This window comes from Homo sapiens, chromosome 18, assembly GCF_000001405.40.
Source record: "Homo sapiens chromosome 18, GRCh38.p14 Primary Assembly".
NCBI lineage: Eukaryota > Metazoa > Chordata > Mammalia > Primates > Hominidae > Homo > Homo sapiens.
This window is the reverse complement of record NC_000018.10, coordinates 36,597,450-36,622,438: the sequence shown is the minus strand read 5'-3', so window position 1 is coordinate 36,622,438 and position 24,989 is coordinate 36,597,450. Positions and strand designations below refer to the sequence as shown.

The 24,989-nt window shown below is 42.3% G+C and overlaps 1 protein-coding gene across 45 annotated transcripts in view; it reads right to left on the bottom strand.

Annotated features, from left to right (window-relative positions):
• Positions 1–24,989, bottom strand: part of FHOD3 (formin homology 2 domain containing 3) — a 482,508-nt gene that overhangs the window by 157,782 nt on the left and 299,737 nt on the right. For all 45 annotated transcript variants that reach the window (XM_011526189.2, XM_011526190.3, XM_017026008.2 and 42 more), the window contains 2 exons: positions 19,671–19,765; positions 10,344–10,487 (listed from right to left, as the gene is read on the bottom strand). In XM_011526189.2, the coding sequence (XP_011524491.1) occupies positions 10,344–10,487; positions 19,671–19,765 (239 nt within the window). The remainder of the gene's footprint in view (positions 1–10,343; positions 10,488–19,670; positions 19,766–24,989) is intronic.

Here is a 24,989-nt window from a genome sequence, read left to right as displayed (position 1 = left end):
AACTTAAGGTGACATCTGTAACCACTTCTACCAGTCTTTGAGGCCACTGAATGATCTGAACATTCTTAAGAATTTTTTTCTTTTTATTTATTGTAGTAAAAATATTCAACATGAGATCTATTCTTTTATCAGATTCTAAGTGTACGATACATTATTGTTAACTAGAGGGACGATGTGGTATAGCACATATCTATAACTTATTCATCTTGCATTACTAAAACTTTATGCTTGCTGATAGGCAACTCTCCTTCACCCCCTCTCCTTAGCCCCTGGTAATGGCCATCCTACTCTCTGCTTCTGTGAGTCTATTTTAGATACCTCATATAAGTGAAAATATGCAGTATTTGTCCTTCTGTGACTGGGCCATTTCACTTAGCAAAATGTCCTACAAGTTCATCCAAGTTGTAGGAAATGTCAAGATTTCCGTCTTAAGACTGAAAATATTCCATTGCCTGTATATACCATATGTTCTTTATTGATTCGTCCATCATTGGACATTTTGGTTGGTTCCACACCTTGGCTATTGTGACTAGTGCTGCGACAAACATGGGAGTACCAATATTTCTCCAAAATCCTGATTTCAATTCTTTTTGATGAATATCCAGAAGTGGGACTGCTGGATCATATGGTGGTTTCATTTTTAATGCTTGAACAGTTTTTTTCTTTAACTTTGTACTGTGGAAATTCTCAAACACACACAAAATAGAGAGAAGAATATAGACTGTGATGTGCTCATCACCCATGAAAGCTCAACAATGTGGCTTGCTTTGGCCAATGGAACATCAACAAACATGATGCACACAGAAGCCTGAAAAGTGTTTACACACTGGGACTTGCCTTTTTGAAACACTGCTATCATGGGAAGACATGTGGGCTAGGCTGTTGAAGACACATGGCCCAGCCAACAGCCAGTACCAAATGCCAGGCCAAGTAGATAAACTAAGGCCGTCTTAGACCACTCAGCTCACTCAAACCACTAGATAACTGCAGCTGAGTGAAAACTTCCCAGCTGAATAAGGCTCAAATTCCTAACCCAAAACATCAGGAACAGGGATTGTTGTTTTACACCACTAAGTTCTGGGGTGTTTTGTTATGCAGAAAAAGATAACTGATACATACTTCCTATCACCTATGACAAGGAAGAATCTTCAGAGATTGGACCTATTAATTACTCTTAACAGTAATAGTTATTTCTCATCCTCTACAGTCTTCAGCCTTAAGATGCCTGACCCCTTACAAGGACACATTTTCAGAATCTAAAGTTAGAACACGTAATCTGACAAAATATTTTCTTTTCTGTCAATTTATGTATGTGAAAAAAATAATATGAAGCCATAAAAATTCAAATGAATTTAATTAAACATGGATCAAATCACCCTTCTGAAATGGAGTTAAATTACAGGAAATTGGGCCTGTTTCCAGCAAGTCCAAGACATAATGGCCACCAGATGTCCTTCTCTATTAGGAAGAATTCTAGAAGGCTAACCAAGCTCTCTGCAATTGCTTGAGAACATTCAGTCTTTTGTGAAAAAAAAAATTGGTTCTGCTTGTAGGCTTCGTTGCTGCCCTTGCATATATTGAAGTTGGTTGTCTTTTGGCAATGAATATATTTTTGAGATGCATTAACTTTCAGAAAGAAAGAAAAATCCCAACTCTGCCAGCTATCTAAAGGATTCAGTTGTCACAGCTTGAGTTATTACACAGGGCATCTGCCCCTTAAGGTGACTGCTTTCCAACTGAATAGCATCCTTCCTTCATTCAACTCAGCACCTGGTAGACACTATCATGAAATGTGTGGTATTTGAAGGAGACCTTCATTCAAGCACCTACTGAACTTCTACTTTGGGCAGCTGTGCTGCTGGCCCTTGGGGCTAGACAGAGGCATGAGACATATGGCTTAGAGTAGCTCAAAGGGAAACAGGTCGCACATTCTGAGGAGTGTTAAATCAGAGGTGTGGACACAAGGCAGCACCCTCTCATCAGCTATGAATGGCAGTAGGGGGACAAACAGAAGGAGCCCCTTCCATCTTGCCAAGGAGCCTTAGGGAAAGAGATGACATCTGAAGTGACTGCAGCAGCAGGAGTAGGAGTTTGATAACTTGAGAATAGGAAGAAAAAACACTCCAGGCAAAGAAAATAGAATGGATAAAGGAAAGTTCCCCAAAGAACCTGCCTTTCATGTTCAAAAACAGGAGAAGTTGAGTGTGGTTGAAACTTCAGACACATCTTGGGAATGGTGGAGATGAGGCCACAGAGGCACGAAGGCCTCGGAGTATGGAGGGCCCTTGTACCAATGGAAGGAATTTTGGTTTCATCTTACTGGTCATGAAAAGCTCATTCATTCGTTTTCTTAAACAGGAGAACAGCATAATGAGATTTGACTTTCAGGAGGATCACCTTGCTTTCAGCCAGTGGGAGTTTGGAATGGGGAGAAGGCCCTCATGGGATCTCAATGTCCCCCAGGCTCTGAACATGCTGCTCTCCAGGCCCTACCCCTGTAGCCACCCAGCCTCCTTTCAACCCCTGACACCTGCCATGCCTGACCTCCTCCAATGCTCTCCCTCATTCACTGTCTTTCATCAGGCCTTCCTTCCTTGCTGCTGCCCCTCTTTCTGGCCCCCACCTCATACCGTCTCTTTTCTTCATAGACATGTTTGCGATCTCAGATCCTCTGCTTACGCACGTTCTTGATTGCTGTCTGCACCTCATTAGAGTATGTGCCCTCTCAGGGCAGTGGTCTTGCCTGATGTGCTGGGTCACCAGGGCTAGAATAGTGCCTGGCACATAGCAGGTGCTCAATGAAGTTTTGTGGAATGAACAAAGTAATAGACAAGCAAATGAATAGGAAGATAGTGCAATACTTCAGGCAAGAAACGATGAGGGCCAGAGCTAAGGAAATGATCACAGGAATGGAGAAGAAGTGCTGTTTTCAGCAATCAAATTCCTAAATAAGGGGACACAGGAAAGAGAAAAGAGTCCAGTATAGCTCTAGCCTTGTAACTTGGGAGACTCCACTGTTTGCAGAGGTGGAGACATGAAGAGTCCGTTCAGAATTTTTGTTTTTGTTGTGGAAGAAAAATAAAGGGTTCATTTGGGGGCTGGTTGCATTTCATGTGTGGCTTTCAGGTGGTCATGTCAGATACAGTCAGAGCTTCCTTGGCATGTCCTAAGTCCTCTGCACCATCCTCTGCTAGGGGAATCAGCTACCTGCTTGCCTTAGACTAAAGAATGGAGGTTCTTTGGGGGCAGGTACAGATATTTTATCTCTGTATTTACAGCCCTAGCAGAATATGTCACATATAGTGGTCTCCAAGTACATGAATGAAATACAAGATGGCAAGCAGGCAGAGGAAAAGGAAGGTAGAGAGGCAAGCAGCCTTGGGTCCCAGAAGAAAGCATGGAGTCAAGATAGCGATGAGCCCCCAAGGCTGCTGACTTCACTAGGGTGAATATAGACAGACAACACAGACAGAGAGGAGGTCTGATAAGGACACCACTGAAAGGGAGGGGTCAGAAACAGAGGATCCAGGGAGGACACTAAGGGGGAACAATCAGAGAGATACCCCAGAGACATCTGGACACAAAGCAACAAGGCGCAATGTGCAGGAGTGGTCAGGAATTCTTTTATGATGCTACTATAACAGTGATGCTCCAACTGACAAACACAGCTTACAACAAAGGAAGAGGAAGGGGAGGTGGCAGGGATGGGGTGGGGAGGAGCTAGCTGCTACACACCAATCTTACTTATGAATACTAATGCAAACATTTTCAATAAATTAGTACCAACCAGAATTCCAACAGCACCTTTTTAAAAAGAACACATCATTGGCCAGGTGCGGTGGCTCACGCCTGTAATCCTAGTACTTTGGGAGGCCGAGGAGGGTGGATCACCTGAGGTTGGGAGTTCCAGACCAGCCCAACCAACATGGAGAAACCCTGTCTCTACTAAAAATACAAAATTAGCCAGGCATGGTGGCGCACACCTGTAATCCCAGCTAGTCGGGAGGCTGAGGCAGGAGAATCACTTGAACCCGGGAGGCGGAGGTTGTGGTGAGCCAAGATCGCACCTTGCACTCCAGCCTGGGCAAGAGTGAAACTCCATCTCAAAAAAAAAAAAAAAAAAAAAACCACCAAAAAACATCATTACCAAATGGATTGTATTACAAGAATGCAATGATGGTTAAAAGATGAAAAGAAATCAATTACTCAACTCAAAAATCCAGAAAAATAACAAGGTAAACTGAAAGAAAGTAAAAGGGATTTATAAAGATAATAGCAAAACATTGAGTTACAAAACAGAAAAGCAGTGCAATTCATATAAAAGTCAGAATTATTGCTTGAAAAAAAATCAACAAAATAGACAAACCATTAGTTAATCTGGAGGGAAAAGGAGAAGTCACAAACACAAAGTAAGAAATAACAAAAGGAAGATTACTAAAAGAGAAGAAATTTAAAATATTCATAACAGACTAATAAAAATTCCTTTGCTAAGGAATTTTAAAATACAGATGAAATGGCTAATTTCCTAGGAAATGTAATTTAGCAAAATTGATCCTGTAACAATAGGAAGTTTAAACAGACCAGTTTCCATAGAAAAAAATATAGTTACCAAAAATCTTCCCTCACTGTCCTCACCCCACACACATATATATTTAACATCACAGGCCCATGTAATTTTCCAACAGAATTCTAATAAGCCATCAAAGACCAGAATATGAAATGACACTTAAACATTTCCAGGGCTTAGAGAAGGAAGAAAAACTTCTAAATATTTTGATGCAGCATGAATAAAACTGATACCTAAACATCTTAACTATTGCACACACACACACACACACACACACACACACACACAGGGAAGTACAAGAACTCTCGTAGTAGCATTGTTTGTCAAGGCAACAAAAATTTAAACCACCTAACATCTGTTCAGAGCAGAGCAGATAAATAAATTGTGATACATTCGTCAGCAGTGAAAATGAACAAGCTGTTATCCATATATCAACATGGAACAGGTCTCAAAACTGCTGAGCAAAAGGGCATATTCTACAAAGAGTCAAAAGATACGATTCCATTTATAAAAAGCTTGAAAACAGACAAAATTCAATAATACATTGTTTAGGGGCAGACTGAGAAGAAGGAGCTAAAGCATCTGGCTGATGATCCTTTCACTCATCTTACAAGAAAGATGTTTCTGGGGAAAGGACACAAGCATGTGAGGACCTGCCTCACCTACCATAAATATGCGAATTAACTAGACTATCTAACAAATAAATTAAAGATATTTGCTGAGAGTTCTTATTTCTGGAATACCCTTAGCAGGATGTCCCTGGCTATGGACTACTTATAGTAAATAAACTCAGAATTATGGATTTGTGAGCCATGACTCTCTGGGGCATGAAGTAGAGATGTTTCCTAACTAAATGCTCCTTGCTGGGTGAGATGACCTTGTGAACCTCACTTACAGACTTTGTCTGTTGTTCCGGGTCAGAAAGCACACATCTGAATCATGAAAAAAGGACCTGGGGAGTCACAAGGGATGTCCCAGACCTCTCTCTGATCCATCTGCACCTCGATAGGCTATATTCTTGAAATTATTAGTACAGCCAGATAACTGGGAAAGATCTCTGATTAGCCAATTCTGATTTAGTAATATGATTATGTTAGCTCACAGAATAAGTGGTTTTCAGGTTAAATTATTTTTAAAGAAAGCAAGAGAATACTGGGGATAGGAGTAGTAGGATGACAATGAAGCGGCTGTCAGGACACTTCTGAGTTGTAATGTTTTAGTTCTTAAAGCTGGTACATGGTATTTGTTTTATTGCTCTTTAAATGACACAAATATGCTTCATTTGTGAATGATATACACTTGATGCTCAAATATTAGGCACATGTAATTCGACAAAAGAAAGATGGTGAACACAGTATAATTTCTTCAAAGTCTGGCATGAAGGGAAAGAAGTTGAGGAGGTGGCTTAAGAGGCAGGTAGGCTGGAGAGAAAATGTGCCCTGAAGCAGAGGATAGTTTTTAGATTCCTGGAGTTGGTATCAAGGCTATTCTTCACTACTCTCTCCCAGTTTGTTCACTGATGGGCAATTCATCCGCATCATGCTGGCCTCTGAATATACAGTGACCCTATGGAATCCAAATCTGTGGTCATCTGAGCCCCTGGCTGAACAGAATCTAAGAGATGGAAGGAGTTCCGATCGTGGTGGTGAGGGGGCTAAGGGAAGGAAATATCTGTGCTGGAAAAAGTCCATCTTCTACCTTTATTTAAACCAACTCTCTTGAGCTCTCTTCCTCTTCCATCTTTAGTATGCTTACTTTATTCTCCATCTTGTATCTTAGGAGCCATGAGAACATACTCCTTTGTCACCTACTGGCCTCCCAGGGCCACAGGTCAGTAACAATAAAAAACTGAGGGAGTGAGGCAGGGCTGGAAGAGAAGATGCCCAGAGCAGCGCACAAAGAGCTGGCCAGCTGGTGGCTGTTGGCAGCTTCAAGTGCTGCCAGCAAATATGTTGGGCCCAGTTTCTTCTCTCCCAAGATCATATAAAGATAATTCTGTTCTATTCCTCAACTTGTCACTTATTATGACAGTAACTTATAGAAAATAGTGAGTTATACATCACTCTCTCCATTTCTATCCAGTGAAGACCATAAGGAAATGGAAAATATCTTCCCTAGAGATCTAGCGGTGCAGAAAAATTTATGAATGAATATCTTCCTCATAACAGCATTTGTAATTGTGAAAACTTTGAAAATAATCTAAATCTGAAAAAATAGGGACTAGTTATATATATTATGGTATACACACAGATAGAATATTGTACTAAAACATTAAATTCTTAAACATGTAATGACAAGGGAAAATGTTTCCAACATGTTTGCTAATAAGATTCAACATGCAACACTATATGTAGACTACTATGTCCCTCATCATGAACACACACCCACATATACAAAAAAGACCAGAAAAATAGACCAAAATGTTAAAAATGGTTAGTAATAAAATCATGGGTGATTTTTTTTTCTCTTATGCTTTTTCATATACCAAAAATGCTTTTTGTTATTTTCCAAATTTTCATCAATGAGTATATATTATCTTTATAAGTGGAAATAGGAAATATTTTTTAAATGTATTACTATTAATAAGACTGATCAGTTATATCAGAAGTGGAAAAATACAACCCATAGAATGAGAGAAAATATTTTCAAATTATATATCTGATAAGGGTCTAGTATCCAGAATATAGAAATAATTCCTAAAACTCAACAATAAAAAAATCAAGGCTGGGCGCGGTGGCTCATGCCCTTAATCCCAACACTTTGGGAGGCCAAGGCAGGTGGATCACCTGAGGTCGGGAGTTTGAGACCAGCCTGACCAACATGGAGAAACCCCATCTCTACCAAAAACACAAAATTAGCTGGGCGTGGTGGCACATGCCTGTAGTCCCAGCTACTCAGGGGGCTGAGGCAGGGGAATCGCTTGAACCTGGGAGGTGGAGGTTGCGGTGAGCCGAGATTGCATCATTGCACTCCAGTCTGGGCAACAAGAGAAAAAGCTCCATCTCAAAAAAAAAAAAAAAAAAAAAAAAAATCAATTAAAAAATGAGCAAAGGATCGGAATAAATATTTCTCCACAGAAACTATACAGACAGCCAATATGCACTTAGAAAGAGGCTAAACATCATTAGTCAACAGGGAAATGCAAGTCAAAACTACAGTAAGATACCACTTCACACCTACTAGCTGGCTATAATAAAAATGGTGGACAATAATAAGCGTTGACAAAGGTGTGGAGTAACTGGAATCCTTATACAGTGCTGGTAGGAATATAAAATGGGACAGCCATTTTAGAAACCAATCCAGCAATTCCTCAATCAGTTAAAGATAGTTACCATATGACCAGCAATTTCACTTCTAGGTATAAACCCAAGAGAACTGAAAACGTATGTACACAAACTTCAATTCAACACAAATGTTCACAACAGCATTATTCATAATAGCCAAAAGGTAGAAATAACTCAAGTATTCACTAACTGATAAATGGATAAACAAAATATGGTGTATCCATATAATAGAATACTGTCAGCACAACTATGAACAAAGTAGTGATTCTGCAAACGTAGGTGAACCTTGAAAACACGCTAAGTGAAAGCTAGCCACAAAGACCACATTTTGTATGGATCCATTTGTCTGAAATGTCCAAAACAGGTAAATCCATAGAGAGAGAAAGTAGATTACCGGTTTGGGGCCATGGGGGACAGGGAAGAATGTAGAGTGTCTGCTAATGGGTGTGGGGGTTTCTTTTGGGAGTGACAAAAGCAATCTGAAATATGATAGTGGTGATGATTGTACAACCTTGTGAATATGCTAAAAACCATTAAATTGTACACTTTAAAATGGTGAATTTTGTGGAATGTGAAGGATGGGTGGAGGGCAAAACAAAACGAAAAAACAACCAGGGTCAGGCACAGTGGCTCACACTTGTAATCCCAGCACTTTGGGAGGCTGAGGCAAGTGGATTGCTTGAGGTCAGTAGTTCAAGACTAATCGGGCCCATATGGTGAAACCCTGTCTCTACTAAAATATAAAAATTAGCTGGTCATGATGGTGGACACTTGTAATCCCAGCTACTGGGAAAGCTGAGGCTGGAGAATCATTTGAACCCAGGAGGCAGAGGTTGCAGTGAGCCGAGATCGCGCCACCACACTCTAGCCTGGGCAACAGAGAGAGAGACTGTCTCAAAAAACAACCAACAACCAACCAACCAGAGGTGGAAGGTTATACAGGCCCCAAAGGCTCTTGCAATGACATACACACAGAATGCCACTGGTGGAATGTCCTCAGGGATTGCCTGGGTCATTGTATTCTTTAAGTTTGGGCCTAGAGGAATTCACTTTCCTGGTTGAGGTCATACCACCCAAGAGAAAACACATCTTCAGATCTGCCCCTAACTGGCCATGGCAGGACACTGGGATGATGAGGATCAGCAAGAAAGAGTGTCATTTCAACACTCTCATAGTTAAGTACTTTCAATACCGTGAGGGCATTTGACCTAAAATTAACCCACAGGGAACAGTCTGAACTCAAGTCAACAAGGTCCGAAGCCCTGATATGTAGCCCAAAGCAGAACCGGCGTCACGGGTGAGTGACCTGTGCTGTTGCACCAGCAGAGGAGAGAGGTACAACATGCATGTCTGCCATTCCTTGCTGCTCATGTGCACAGATTCTGGTAGACTGGTGATAGGCAGGAGTTCTGCGGGACTGGAAGTGAGTACAAGGTAAGTATGTTACACCTACAACTGGGCAGGCAGGGGCACTGACAGCCCTGGGGGCCATGTTTCCCTTCAAGATGGATTTGAGTGCAGACAGAAGACAACCCATGGAGCCTCTCATATCCTTTCTTACCCTGTTACCTTCCCATGTTAGACAACAACTTATGCTGAAATGACAACATAAAGAAAGGAAAAGATAGGGCAGCTCCTAGATCCTTTTTCTTTCAGCCCTTTCTTACTCTTTAGTAAGTTAAAGGCAGAGTGTTGGTAGAATGCACACACCCCAAGAAGTGATGTAAAAACAGTGCAGTCGGTTTCGTACTGTTTCTGCTGTTTTGGTAAGAACAAAATACACGTGCATATGGGAGCTACAAAATATGATTTAGGTAATTTGGCTGATTCTGCCTACAAGTTAAAGGCTCTTATATTTGCATTCTAAACTGACACTTCATAATATAAAGATGAATGGTAAAATTCATGGTAATAATTTTAAATTTTAATTTTTAATTTTTCTTTCCTTACGACAATTACATACCAAATTAGAAAATCACCATAACAAGGTGGGAGAAACCACAGAAGAAAGTGAAGAGTTGTTTCAGTATCTTTAACAGCACTTTTGCTTGAGTGTTCCATAAATGGTCCTTCATTTTCGTTTTGCATTGGTTGCTACAAATCATGTATCTGGCCCTGCCTGAAGTTCCACCCCACTCAGGTATAAGAAATGTGATTTCTGTCTCTATCTCTTTCTCTCCCCGTCTCCTTGAGTGAAGGTGCCGCTGACAAACGGCATGTTCTTTAAAGGAAAATAGCTAACCAATTTCCCCTATATCAAGGGTTCTTGAGCTTGAATATGCATCAGACTCTCCTGGAAGGCTTGTCATAACATGGTCTGCTGGGCCCTCAGAGTTTCTGATTCAGTAGGTCTGGGGTGAAGCCTACGATGCTGAGTTTCTAATAAGCTGGTGGTGCTCATACGCTTTACGCGTGGTCTAAAGTAGGCGCCATCTCAGCCTTTGACAATTGCCAAAGCTGTACGATACCTTACAAAAGGCATGGTCTGGTACCTCATAAATGTTGAGTTGCTCCACTAAGTCCAGGTCAGTCCCTTTCTTGTTCAAGTGCCTCTGGGACACAGCAGCAATGCCCAGCTCCTCCAGGCAGTCCACGACGTCGTAGAAGGTGTCTTGGTCTGGTAGTCCTGATAACGTCTGGAAGAAGAGAAGAACCAGCTACAGAGACACCACAGAAGACTGCCTTGAGGCTCTCAGGGCATTTTCCAATGCCTAATCCAGGCATATTGTTATAATCATGGCCACTAATCAATCCAGACAGATGACAAATTTATTTGAGCAAAAGCCTCTTCAGTGTGGCAGGCAGAATGAACCCCAATATTCTCCCCTCTGGTGTACAAGTGCTACATAATCTCCTTGGCTTGAGTGTGGGCTGGGCACTCCCATGAGAGGGGGGCACTCCCATGATTAGGTTACATTAGGTGGCAAAGGTGAGGGGATTTTGCAGATGTAATGAAGGTCCAAAAGCAGTTGATTTTGAGTTAATCGAAGGGGTGACTCTCCTAGGTGATAATCAGGTAGGCCCTTTAAAAGAAGGCTTAGCTCTTCTCTGAGCTGGACTGGAAAGAGATTATCCCACTGGCCTCGAGGCAGGAGCAACCACAACTTTCACAGAAGCAAGGAAATGAATTCTGCCAACTACATAGGCCTGGAAGAGGACCCCAAGTCTCAGATGAGACTTCAGTCCTGGGCGACACCTCGGCTGCAGCCTTGTGAGACCCTGGGCAGAGGACCTACTAAGGCCATGCCTGGACTCCCTGCCCCACGGAAGCTGTGAGATGATACATGGATGTTGTCTGAAGCTGCTAAGTTTGCAGTAATTTGTTACGTGGCAATAGAAAACTAACCTACTTTGTAATTAGAAACTCCTGTTAAGATCCATACACCAACAACTGGAGTTGTAACAATTTAATTTTATTAAACTGTATTTAAATTCAATAGGGCCTCCCCGTGGTCTATGAAATTTAGAAAAACTTGAGAAATTTCAAGGCAGCAATTAAGAGACAAAAAGAGAACCAAGAAAGAAAAAGCTGACTTCTCTTTGAATTCTACCTCTCTTAAGAGAAGGAGGGTATCTGAGACAAGGCCCTGGCTCACAGATGGAAGGAGCCTGAGATTTACTGCAAGCCCTTTATCTTATACAGGAGGGAGAGAAGGATAAACGCCTGAGGCAACAGGAAGCGACTGAAGACACTGGGATAAAAGCCTGGGCTCAGAGCTGCCATTCCAGTCTCAGCCTTTAGTCCCTACTTACTTCACTATCTTTGCATTTCTAAGAACAAGACACACATTCCAAAATTATTCTAAACATGATAACTTGCCTAGGAAGGAATAAGACCAACACTTCTGTAAAGATCATTTCATAGCACCAGCTTCTCTAACACTTCTATCTTGGGGCTATCAGTGTTGGAAAGAAGGCCTCTATTCATAACTCGAATAATGGCGTTTTCCTTTTTAAGCTGAGCAAAGAGGACACCAGTCACTGCTATTGAGATCAGAAACTAATGAAAACTAATTGTAATGTGATAGCCTAATTATTCAAGGCCCCGATAAGGACACAAGGCAGGAAGCTGTGAATCTGAAGCCATCATAAATAGGTGTTCACACTTGGGCCGCCACGCCACGTATGACAGCACACACCAGTGTCTACAGGAACCAGGCTAACCACATCGCACTGACAGGCAATAACGGTCATCAGGGCTGCCTTCTGCTTCCAACATTGATTGAAAAATTGCACATCATTCAAAGAATCCTATCATCCTTTGCTTTTAGTGAAAACTCTAGAACTTATTAAAAGATGAGAGGGAAATGACAATACCAGGCCCAGGCAGGGTGAACAATTAGAGATGCCCTAACTGCCAGCTGACTCTGCAAAATGCACAGCCTGAGGAATGCAGGTGAAGGGACATCTAGCATCAGAATTAAAACTTCCTACACAGCAGCGTGGGGGCCAGCCCCAGGCACAGAGAGAGGCCGCTGGTAGTCTCTTCACCTCGTTCCCCCACCTTCTTCTTCCCCTTTCACCTTTCTGGGAGTCAACTGAGGTTCTTTCACTCAGAAGTTTCCAGGAGGTTAAACTGCTAAACCTAATCCCCATTGCTTTAGCAAGTCCAACCATAAAGGGTGAGGGAATCACTGGTAAATAATTTAAAAATGAGAACTATAGAAGTAAGCAGGGGCCAGGCACAGTGGCTCATACCTGTAACTCCAACACTTTTGGGGGGTTGAGGCAGGTGGATCACTTGAGGCTAGGAGCTGAAGACCAGCCTGGCCAACATGGCGAAACCCAGTCTCTACTAAAAATACACAAATTTAGCAGGATGTGGTGGCACATGCTTGTAATCCCAGCTACTTGGGAGGCTGAGGCACAAGAATCACTTGAACCCGGGAGACGGAGATTGCAGTGAGCCAAGATCATGTCACTGCACTCCAGCCTGGGCGACAGAGCAAGACTCTGTCTCAAAAAAAAAAAAAAAAAAAAGAACTAAAAAGACTCGGGAAACTCTTGCCCCTTGCTCAGTAATAGGCCCTGAACTGAGGGTATCAGCAGGTCATTTGTCATTTCCGCAGTGAAAATATGGGCTTGAGCCAAGCCTGCGTACTATCACCTTTTATGCAGGCTGCGGGGGAAATGATGGCCTTCTGCCACTCACAAATGCAGCTTCTTTTTCCAGCTGTGCAAGAGGGTGCTATACATCTTTTAAAAAATTCATCTTTTTTTTTTTTTTGGCTGATTCTCTAATAGGCTCATCAAATTCTACCACACTTCCACCTGTCCCTGGGCCTCCCCTCCCAGTTCCACCCTGCAGCCTCTGCTGCTAAGTTGTCCACCTCTGACAAAAATGGCAGCTTCCCCAGGAAAGTCTGCGAGGTAAATGTTTCCTGATGCCTTCACCCTCAGACACTAAAGGTGCCGAGCATAGCTGCCTGACACTTGGTATCCCTCCTCCTGTTTTTTTCTTAGACTTTGTCTTGACAAGGCCTGTGACAAGTAAATCTTTACAAATCTCTCTCAGAGGGGGAAATTCCGTCCTAAAGGACATTCTTCCCCCTCCCTGGGTTTTCATTGATTGCACCAAGTCTTTCTTGTAGGATAAAACCATTGTGGCAAAGCCAGTACATGAATGTTCATAGCAGCTCTATCTGTGGAAGCCAAAAGCTATAAACACACAAATCTCCTTCAACAGGTGAATGGGTAAGCACATATGCATCTCTACAAGGAATACTACACAGCAGTGGAAAGGGGTTAATTAATATATTGCATATATTAATATATGCAATAAAAGATTAATCTCAAAAGGCATTATACTGACAGAAGCCAGCCTCAAAGGGTTACTTACTGTATGATTCCATCTGACATTCTTGAAAAGACAAAATTACAGTGATCAGAGAATAAATCAGTGGTTTCTCAGGATTATATATAGGAGCTCAGAGTGTCAGTATAAAAGGATAACATGGGGGAATACTATGCTATTCTTAGTCTGTATTCTAATTGTGAAGGTGATCCATCTCCATGTACATGTTAAAACTCATATAGCTATATTCTAGAAGGTGCATTGTTATGGTTTGAATGTGCCCCCCACCCAAAGTTCATGTGTTGGAAACTTAAACCCCAATGCAGCAGTGTCGGAAGGGAGAACCTTTAAGCAGTGATTAGGTAATGAATGGATTAGTTCTGTTATCTCAGGACTGGGTTAATTATTGTAGGAGTAGTTTCCTGGTAAATGGATGAGTTCAACCATCTTATCTTCCCTACAACCTCCCTCACCCTGTGTATCCCACTACGGGATAGCACAGAAAAGAAGGGCCTGGCCAGATGCCAGCATCTTGATATTGGACTCCCAGCCTCAAGAACTGTGAGTAATAAATTTATTTCCTTTATAAATTACCCAGCCTGTGGTATTCTGTTATAGCAACACAAAACAAAGACATAAAATTGATACAGAGAAGTGGGCTGTTGCTATAACAAATAACTGAAAACGTGAAAGCAGCTTTGGAATTGGGTAACAGGTAGAGGCTGGAAAAATTTGGAGAAGCAAGCTAGAAAAAGCCTAGATTGACTAGAGCATTATCTGGTTGACTCTGGTGGGAGCTCAGAAGAAGAGAATAGTTGTACGAAAAGTCAGAGCCTTCTTAGAGATTGCTGAAGTGGTTGGTAGAAATACAAATGGTAAAGCCAATTCTGAAGAGGTCTCAGATGGAAACGAGAATCAAGGTATTAGAAACCAGAATAAAAACCATCTTTGTTTTAAAGTGGCAAGAACTTGGCTGAAATATGTCAATGTCCTAGGGCTCTAATGAAAGTCAGAATTTAAGAGCAATGAACTAGGATACCTGGTGAAAAAAAATTCTAAGAAAAATATTGAAGGAGTTGTATAGTTACTCTTAACTGCTTATAGGAAGATGCAAGAGGATAGAAGTGATATAAAGATGGAGTTTATTAAAAGGAAAGTAGAGTAGAAAAATTTGAAAAAGTCACAGCTTGGCCATGTAAAGAGTAAAAAAGCATCTTTTGGAAAGCAAACCAAAGGCATGACCAAGTGACCATTTGCTAAAAGGATTATAGTATGGATAGAAGGGAGCCAGCGTTATTCACCAAGACGATGGGAGAAAAACTCCAAAGGCATTTCAAAGACCTTCTAAGCAAGCTAGGACCTTGAGGGCAAGGTTTCTGGACAGGCACCAGCGGTACCTCAGCATTCACTGCTCAGGGCCACTCAGGATCCTGCTCCCAGAATTCTGGTGCAGGATTTTTTGGCCACCCCAGCTGTGACTCAAGCAGGCCTTGCTGCTCTGGAAGGTACAAGCCATAAAATACATGGTACTAATTCTGCAGGTGTGGAAAATACAAGAGCCGTGGAGCCATGGTGACCTCAACCTAGATCTAAAAGAAGGTTATGGACAGCCTAGGGTCCCAGGAAGAGATTTGTCACAGGGTGAAGCCACTGTAGAAAGTCCCTACTAGGGCAATGCCTAGTGGAGCCACGGGAGTGAGGCAGCCCCCAAGACCCCAGAACTGTAGAGCTACCAGTGTGCAATCCAGCCCGCGAAAGCTGTAGGCATAAGCTCCAACCCAGGAGAGCTGAAGCGTGGGCTGAGCCCAGCAAAGCCATAGGGATGGGGTTGCCTGAGGCCTTGTGGGCTCAACCCCAACCCCAGTGTGCCCAGGATGTGGGACATGGAGTCAAAATAGATTATTCTGGTGTCTTAAGATTTAATATTGTTTTTTCCTCTCTTGGGCTTTGGACTTGGAACTAGTTATCCCTTCCTTCTTGCCTATTTCTGCCTTTTGGAATGTGAACATCTATGCCAGTTCCAACGTATTTTGGAAGTAGGTAACTTGTTTGATTTCAGACTCACAGCTAAAGGGAAATTTGCCCCAGGATGAATCGTGCCTTGAGTCTTACCTATACCTGATTCAGATGAGACTCTGGATTTGGGACTTTGAGTCTGTACTGGAATTCATTAAGACTTTGGGGCTAATGGGATGGAATGGATATATCTTGCACATGAGGAGGACATGAATTTTGGGGACAGGGGGCAGAATGCTATGGTTTTAATATGCCCCCCAAAGTTCATGCGTTAGAAACATAATCCCCAAAGCAACAGTGTTGAAAGGAGGTAAATCGGATGAATGCCATTATCTCAGGAGTGGGTTACTTACTGAAGGAATAGGTTCCCAACAGAGCGTAAGTTTCACCCCCTTCTCCTCTCTTCCCCTACAACCCCCTTGCCCTCTACCATGGATGGCATGGCAAAAAGGTCCTCACAAGATGCCAGTACCTTGATACTTTGATATTGAACCTCCCAGCCTCCAAAACTGTGAGAAATCGATTTCTTTATAAATTACCCAGTCTGTGGTATTCAGTTACAGCAACACAAAATGGACTAAGACAATAATTTTAAAACAATAAAAGTAAATGTAAAAACAAAGGCAACTACTCAGCATGTACCATCCAGGTTAGTTATCCCCTAGCCCCACTGAACAACTCCTCTCCCCATGGCTTCCTGGGGTCCTGCTTTCCCTGAACACCCTAAGCCAGCCTCACGGTAACCCCTCTTGTTACTCATTGTACCTCCCACCCCAGTGTGCTTTCTCCTATTTTACAAGGCAATCAGTTTTAGAACAGTTACCAGGATAGGACTTAGTGTCATTGTTTTGTTTGTCATGGAAATGTCCATTTTTAAAAATTCCATGTTATTAGGGGCCTTTATTTTGTTGATATCAATACTTAGAAACCACCCAACTTGCAATATAATTTCCCAGATTTCACAGTCTGAATGTTTTCCAGACCCAGATTAACATTTTAATTTGTTATTTTGTTTGGTATCTCAGAGGAGTTTACTCATTGGGCAACATGCATTACTACAATACAACAAAACAAAACAAACCCGGCATGACTTGTTTAACGCATTTATGCCGGAGGTTGCAAATTTTTTTTTTTGTGTGTGAAAAATTATACCTTGGTGATGACCTTGAGAAGCAGGATATAAATAACTCACACAAGCTTAGCGTTCCAATAACGGAACACTAGGCATAAATGAGTTAAGGAAAGGATTACATTTGAATGAATGACCTCAAGGATCTTTCTGGATGTCTCCTTGGCCAGAACTAACAAAGGATGAGAAAGAACTGCCAGAAGAGAAAGAGTAAGTGAGGGATTCCTGGACATCAAATGCCACAGAATGCCAAACAGAGGGTGACAGGCACTGGGTCTCTGCCAGTGATTAGCAACAAAGTACCACATTGTGTGGGTACTGCTATGATCATAAGAATAGCTGGGAATGGCCTTATCAATAAAATAGGTAATGTTACAATGGGGAACACTGTGGCAGTGTGAAAATTCCATTTTTGCTGAATTCGGTGTTTTCCAAAACAATGGCAGTGACTAAAAAGGACAGGAAATAGATGACTTTAATCCTTAGAAACCAACAGAAAATTGCTTCAAATCAAATGGTAAAATGAGCTCACAAAAAGATTTGAAAATAAAAGCAGAATTCTTAGGATTATGTTTCAGAAAAGTTGTGCCCATTTCCCACCAGGGTTATAGGAGTTTCCTGGGTGTTCATCAAGAAATGATACTTCATTAAAAGGCAATCATTGCCAATGTGACCTGGGAAACATGTCTTGTTGTTTTCATATGTATTTCTTTTGTTCTTAGTTGGTTTAATGTCTTTCATTTTTCTACTGAATTCATAATATATTTAGGATAACATCATTTTCTACCTTTCTTTTTGTAAACAATTTCCTAGTTTGTCATTTGCATTTAGTTATAATTTGTGATTTTCATTTTGTAAATAAGATCTTTTAAAATTTTATGCAGTAAAATAGTTAAATCTCTTCCTCTGGAACCTGTTTCACTGGTTTTATTTTTAAAATAAACGTTACCAACCACAGACTAATTAGTCTTCATCTCTCTCTCTCTTTTTTTTCTTCCTACAGTTTGCTATGTTCCATTAAATGCTTTAAGCTCCTTGGGGCTTACTGTGGTGTATGGTTAAAGTATGTTTTTGTTTACTTCCATTTAACAACACCTCTCCAATCAGTACCTAACCCGTCCCCACCAATGTTAACTAACTGTACAGTGAGTTGTTCTATACACTGAGGTCTGTTTCAGAGCTCCTCTGCACCAATCATCTGTCTGCTGAGGAAGGGGCCACACTACATTGTTGTAATCCTCAGAGTCTGCACATTTTACTCTCTAGTAGGAGAAGGTGCTCTTCATAATTATACTGCTTTCTACAAACTTATCCCCACTTCATCAGGGAAAATGTTTCTCCAGCTGTATTTCAGGAATGGACTCTGGATCTTTCTGAAGCCCTAACCATCACTGCAGATGGTCCTGCAGGCTCACACCCAGCATGAGCGTGTAAGGAGAGTACAAGGAAGGCCCATGGGGTGGCTGGCGAGGTGCCTGTGCTCTAAGGCATGTCGATCCAAATGGAGAAACTCCAGACCTGAGACTGGGCCTGTTCTGGGTCAGCATGGGCCCCCTTGTTTCAGAGCAGCACCTCTGAGGAAGAGCACCAAGGACCAAGACTGCCCTACAAGGTGGTGATCAGGGAGGGACGCAACAGGAGGAATGACAGCAAGAGGTGTGGTCACCATCACGTGAGACAAGTGGGACCTACCCCCAGGATTCCTTATCTCAGCCCAAGAGTCCAACTTCAATATGCAGTGGAACACGTGCACCTCGTGTCTTCCTGACATGTGAACAATTTTCTTAGAGTAAAACTTCATAATTTATATTCCCTCAAGGAAAAATGATTTTAAAAAATAATTTTGGCCAGGCACAGTGGCTCACGCCTGTAATCCCAGCACTTTGGGAGGCCAAAACGGGTGGACCACATGCGGGCAAGAGTTCAAGACCAGCCTGGCCAATATGGCTAAACCCCGACTCTACTAAAAATACAAAAATTAGCCAGGCATGGTGGCACGTGCCTGTAATCCCAGCTACTAGAGGGGCTAAGGCAGGAGGATCTCTTGAACCTGGGAGGTGGAGGCTGCAGTGAGCCGAGATCGTGCCACTGCACTCCAGCCTGGGCAACAGAGTGAGACTCTGCCTCAAATAATAATAATAATATATTATTATTATTATTATTTTAAGGGGCCAACTTGATAGGAAAAGCAGTCATAAAATTCTCACTGTCACTTTCCTGGATTTACTAGAAAAGACCAAAGCATGAACACACGCAGGCACCCACAGGCCTTCACAAGCACACACACCTGCACGCATCCACTCCACGTGTCGCATAAAGGATTTTCTCCCGTACTGCACACTGCAGCTGTGGTTCCAGCCACTGTGATGGGTGTACACATGGTGTGGCTCTTATTCAGAGGGAAAATTTTAGATTTTCACAATGTATTAGTTCCCTATGGCTACTATAAGAAAGTACCACAAACTAGGTGGCTTAAAATAACAGAAACTTATTCTGTCTCAGTTTGAAAGACTAGAAGTCTGATATTAAGGTGTCAGCAGGGCCATGCTTTCCCTGAAGGCTCTACAGGAAGTCTGTCTTTGCCTCATCCTCAATTGGCAGCCAACAATCTGTGGCGTTCCCTGGCTTGTAGATGCATTATTCTGACCTCTGCCTGTCCTCTTGTGGCTGTCTTCTTTGCATGTTCACATCGTCTTCCCTCTGTGTCTCTTTTCCTCTTATAAGAACACAGTCATGCTGCATCAGAGCCCACCCTCACAACCAGATTATATCTGCTACGACACTATTTCCAAATAAGCCCACAAGCACAGATACCAGGGGTCAGGGCTTTAACATATCTTTTTAGGTGACGCAATTCAACCCATAACATAGTCAACCAACCTTGTTCACCAAAGTCATTGCATAAACCAGTAGCTCCGTATCAACTCCATCTTTTTCCTCCAGGATTTCCATGATATTTGACCAAGGTTTGACCCCTATGAGTAAAGCAAAAATCATTAGAAACAGCAATTCATCAACATTCTTTATCTAACTCACATCACAGTTTATTATCCAAGGACGTATCCAGTGATGGCAGCGTCTTTCAGTCACCAAATTTCAAAGTGTGACATTATCCTTAGGATGGATTTGAGCATGCTTCTAATTGAGGATATTTCTTAGTAGGGAACCCTATCTCACATCATCTTTGTCCTTTTGGCAAGAGCATTGTGTACGCTTCAGTGTCTGGATGCTTACTTGCTTGAAAATTTCTTCATATTAAATATGTAATTTTTAAAAATCCAATCATTGCAACTCTGTAGGCCTACAGATTAGAAAACTCTTGGTAAGTACTCTAAGAATATCCATCAGCACAGAAGAAAAGGGGATGTGGAAGATCTTAACATCCCTCTAGCAGTGACTCAAAGAAATAAGTGACATGCCTGTCTAGCAAATATCTCAAGAACGGAAGTATATTACATCTACTCCATCAAGGCACAAATACTATTAAGTATCAGCTAGGTACAAGGTCTACTGGGCAGCTGCCCTCAATAGGTTTATAATCTAATGGAGCAGCTAGGCATAAGCCCAAGAACAGACACCAGTACAGAGCAATGGCTGAGAAGTGTCCAAGCATGCAGCTAAGCCTGTCACTGTGCAAGTGAGGTCTCTTGCAGCAGGGATGACTGCAGGGGACTTGGCACAAGAGATGACTGCTGCCTGGGCTCTGCAGGCGAAGGCTTATGGGTGGTTATTTCCAGGATCTAGGAGGGACAGGAGATACTCCGCATTCACATTCAGGACCACTAAGCCAAGGGCAAGACCAAAAAGAGGCACATAACACCTTGACATGGTTTTCTAGGCCCAAGATGAATATTTGAAGTGAAGTGAAATAAGAATTGCCTTGCTCTTGGCTTGGTGGTTTGCGACATGAAGCTCTTTCGTGCTTTCTCTATAAAGATCTCAAAGGGATATTGCTTATTTTTACTTGAGAAAAGTAAACTTGGAAATAACCTAAATACAGTAGTTTCCAAATGCTGGTCCTTGGATGGGCTATGTCAGAGCTGATTTTGGCCTTGAGAACAAAAGTTTCCCAAGGACCATGATAGTATCTGTCTTGTTGATCTCCATGCCCTTAGGACAGTGCCTGGCATATAGTACATGCTCAGTAAAATGTCTGCTGAATAGTGAATGGAGATCTCTGAGAAGGCAGGAAGTGGGTTAAGCTGAAGCAATTTTAAAAGAACCAGGAAGCAGATGCACACAGTAAGAAAAGCAGAGAAGACAGGATTTAAGGGGATTTGTTTAAGAGGATTAAACAAAGAATAGGTACCTACTTACTACAAGACGTAAAAGGCACAAATGTAGCTCAATATGGAGATCTCCTGGCTTTCCTAAGTGAATAGAAAGCCTTTTGCTTTGGCTAAGTTGCCCAGCCAGTCAGAACTGGGCAATCTTCTATGACCCTTGCTAACTGAGCACAAAGACATGTTCTTTCTCCTTTCACCTGCTGACTACTGAATTATCTCCTTGCTGATATTGATCATCAAACTACTTTGAAGTCCACACCACGGTGTAGTTGTTCTTCCAACCACTGCAAAGTAACCATCTCAGCTCTCAAGACAGTCAATCAATCTGATCAGCAGGCCTTGGGTCTCACTGTCCAGTTTAAGATATCTGGATGCCGCCATTTGTGTTTGTAACAGGGGCAGCTTCTAACATTCACATTTTGTATAAAACCTTGGCATAGAACACATGTTGTAGTGAGTTACCCATGCATGGCTCAAAGGAAGAATGTGCAGGGGAGAAAGTATCGAAACTAAGACTTTCTAGTGGTGCTAATGGACCCAGAACTACTTTTGGTTGCTTACTCTGGAGCCAAAGATGCGAAACAGGTCCTCAGGGAGCAAAGGCCAAGGAACAATGGCAGGCAGCCCAGAGAGAGAGGGAAAGGTAGCCAGACTACATTGGTACTCCCCTTAAACAGACACATGCACATGTGTGCATCTAATCCTTTATAATAAGAACACTCAAACACTGGCTTAATTTAACTGAAAAACGTGTTTTTAGCTGTGTTATCTGAGTCTCTTATTACCATCTAAGGATTTTAAGTCTGGAAATGTGCATATATTTGTACACTCTTAGGATGGATGTTCATTCTTTTTATTGTTTTGGGGCAGAAAATCGGAAATATTTACAATGAAGGTAAAAGGGAAGAAACATTTGGTTCAACAAAAATAGCCTTGGCAGGCCTCAGGCTAGGCCTGTGTTCAACACCAGCACTTGCACATTTCCTAGGAGCTCCTGTCAGAATTATGGGGTCCACTCACTCTCCTCATTGCCTTTGTTAACTCCCCACAATGTGTGTGTGTATGTGTGCATATGTGTGTGTGTGTGTGTGTGTGTGTGTGTGTGTGTGTTGCAGAGGAGAGGGTTCCTGTACTGGAATCATAAACCATATAATGCTAGCCCTTCACATAACAGAGAAAGAAACTGGATCCCAAAGGAGTGGGATGGAGGGGCTCAGGAAGCTCATCTGGAGCTCCTAAGGCCTCTGGGATGACTGTACCTACCTTACAGGATTACTGAGAATTGTCATTGAGATAAAGCACTTTGTCTTTTTTCCTTAGCGCTGCTGGAGTACATTAGAAGACAATACTTAATCATTGTCATCTGTCTCTCTCCAACTCCACTGCCCCCCACCCCCACCCCAAACACTGGAGTACAGGTTCTGTGAGAGCCTTTTTTCCTGATGACTGCAAGCACACAATTGATACTCAAATATGTGCTGAATAAATGGGTCCTATGTGAAGAATGTTTACAGTTGTGTCTGTTACATGATAGATACTCAAATATCAGTAGCTGTAATTGTAATGGTGGTGGTTGGTGGAGATACCCAGTTTACCCCCAGGTGGACCACCTGCACTGACTCCCCGGCCAGTCCTCTCTTAACCCAGATAAATAAATACACACAGAATCAATTGCTCAATACTTCTCCCCTCTTACTTTCCTAAATCTCCACATTAAATCTGAAGGAAAATAAGGTATTTAGCTCAGTGCCTCAGACATGGGTTGGTCTAACACGAAAACAGAAGCTCCTCACAGCATGTTCCATGTCTTTTCACATACTACATAAACACACTCAATGTGGATGCTTCTGCTATAAATAACAGTGGAAAGAGAGTTTGAGTTCTGTCAACCTGTAGCTTCCACTACACTTTACACGATCTTCACAGATAGATATACTCTTAAGCAGAAAGTAGAGATGGGATCGCTTGAAAGGATGGCTGAATTTTTTTCCTGCTAATCATGCGTGATAGCAGGAATTCTTATGTTTAAGAATTATCAAATGAAAAATTGAACTACTTCAAAAGCTCTGCTGAGCCAGATTAGTGGGACCTGAGATTTAGGACAAATTTCAACATGAGTTATCCTCTCTGGTCACTTGCCTCACCCTCTGTGGGAGAGGCAAACCTGTTCACTCAAAAGGAAGGACCCCATACCCAGACAGCAGAGGGGTGTCAATCAATTTCCTGTCAACCACCACAGGGAAGACCTTAAGGAAAGGGAGTCTCCAATATGGCAAAATGACAAAGCAAGGCTCTCTAAGGGCTCCCATGAGCCTTTCTCTCTTCCTGCCAGGCCCTGGCCACCAGAAAGAGAAAGTGACTTCAAGGTGCAAGCAAAGAGAAGATGATCCAGTGGTCTGATATTAATACCATACCATGCCCCACAGATGAACCTGAATCCACCTTTTTATCTCAGGCCCTGAGCAAAAGTGCAATAGCCTGGGTCAAATGGAACATTTTAAATTTTCCTTCTTTGGCCAGGCGCGGTGGCTCACGCCTGTAATCCCAGCACTTTGGGAGGCCGAGGCGGGTGGATCATGAGGTCAGGAGATGGAGACCATCCTGGCTAACACAGTGAAACCCAGTCTCTACTAAAAATACAAAAAATTAGCCAGGTGAGGTGGCGGGTGCCTGTAGTGCAACTACTCGGGAGGCTGAGGCAGAAGAATGGCGTAACGCAGAGGTGGAGCTTGCAGTGAGCCAAGATTGCGCCACTGCACTCCAGCCTGGGCGACACAGCAAGACTCCGTCTAAAAAAAAAAAAAATTTAAAAACAAATTTCCTTCTTCATAAACACTGATCACTCCTTACGCTGGACTTTAACCCCTTTGGCTTTTATCCCTGCTAACTGGCCCACTCTTGGCCCCAGACCAAATTGCCCACACTGCAGAATGAAGCCTTCTGGTTAGCCCACGTGCAGCATGCATGATGTTTATATTTATAATGCAACCAAAGGAATTTGTTCTGGACAACTTCATTTGCTTTAGGTAGTAATGATTTTTGAGGACTGGGAGTTTATTTGTTGGTTTTATTGCTGATTCCTTAAATCTGACAGTTTTCATTATCCGAAAGAAACTATTCAAAAAGACAACTGCTCATATGTCCACTCATCCCTGCTGAGGAATGAGTCTAAAGCCACTTTGAGAAGTAAAATTTATGATTTATAAACTTGTGCACAAATGGATATGCTCAGTTTACCCTAAATCACCTCTGGCACCTGTCTGCTCTCTCACCCAGTTGAGAGGGAACCGGAGAGCTGCTTCTAAACCCACTAGATGGAAACACACCTGGAAGTAATGTTGCTCTCTGCAGAATACCATGGCATATTTATATGTTTAATTCCATCATAGGATTCAGGAACAATTCTACTAGCAGTAGAATAGGATGACGTTATATGTATGCATTATAAAATCACAGCCAAGACCACACATGTCCATAAAGAAACATGCTATTGAGCCACACATGATAAGCTATTTCTGAGTTTTTTCATTAGTGCCATTCCTTTTTTTTTTTTTTTCAGCTGCTAGTGCTCAGCAGCAGACAGACAACAGCAGTTGCCAAAGGTTTAAGAAATTGTATAGACAAAAACTATAAAGCTGTCCAGGCACAGTGGCTCACGCCTGTAATCCCAGCACTCTGGGAGGCCAAGGCGGGTGGATCACGAGGTCAGGAGATTGAGACTATCCTGGCTAAAACGGTGAAAGCCCATCTCTACTAAAAATACAAAAAATTAGCCGGGCATGGTGGTGGGCACCTGTAGTCCCAACTACTCGGGAGGCTGAGGCAGGAGAATGGCGTGAACCCGAGAGGCAGAGCTTGCAGTGAGCTGAGATCGTGACACTGCACTCTAGCCTGGGCAACAGAGTGAGACTCC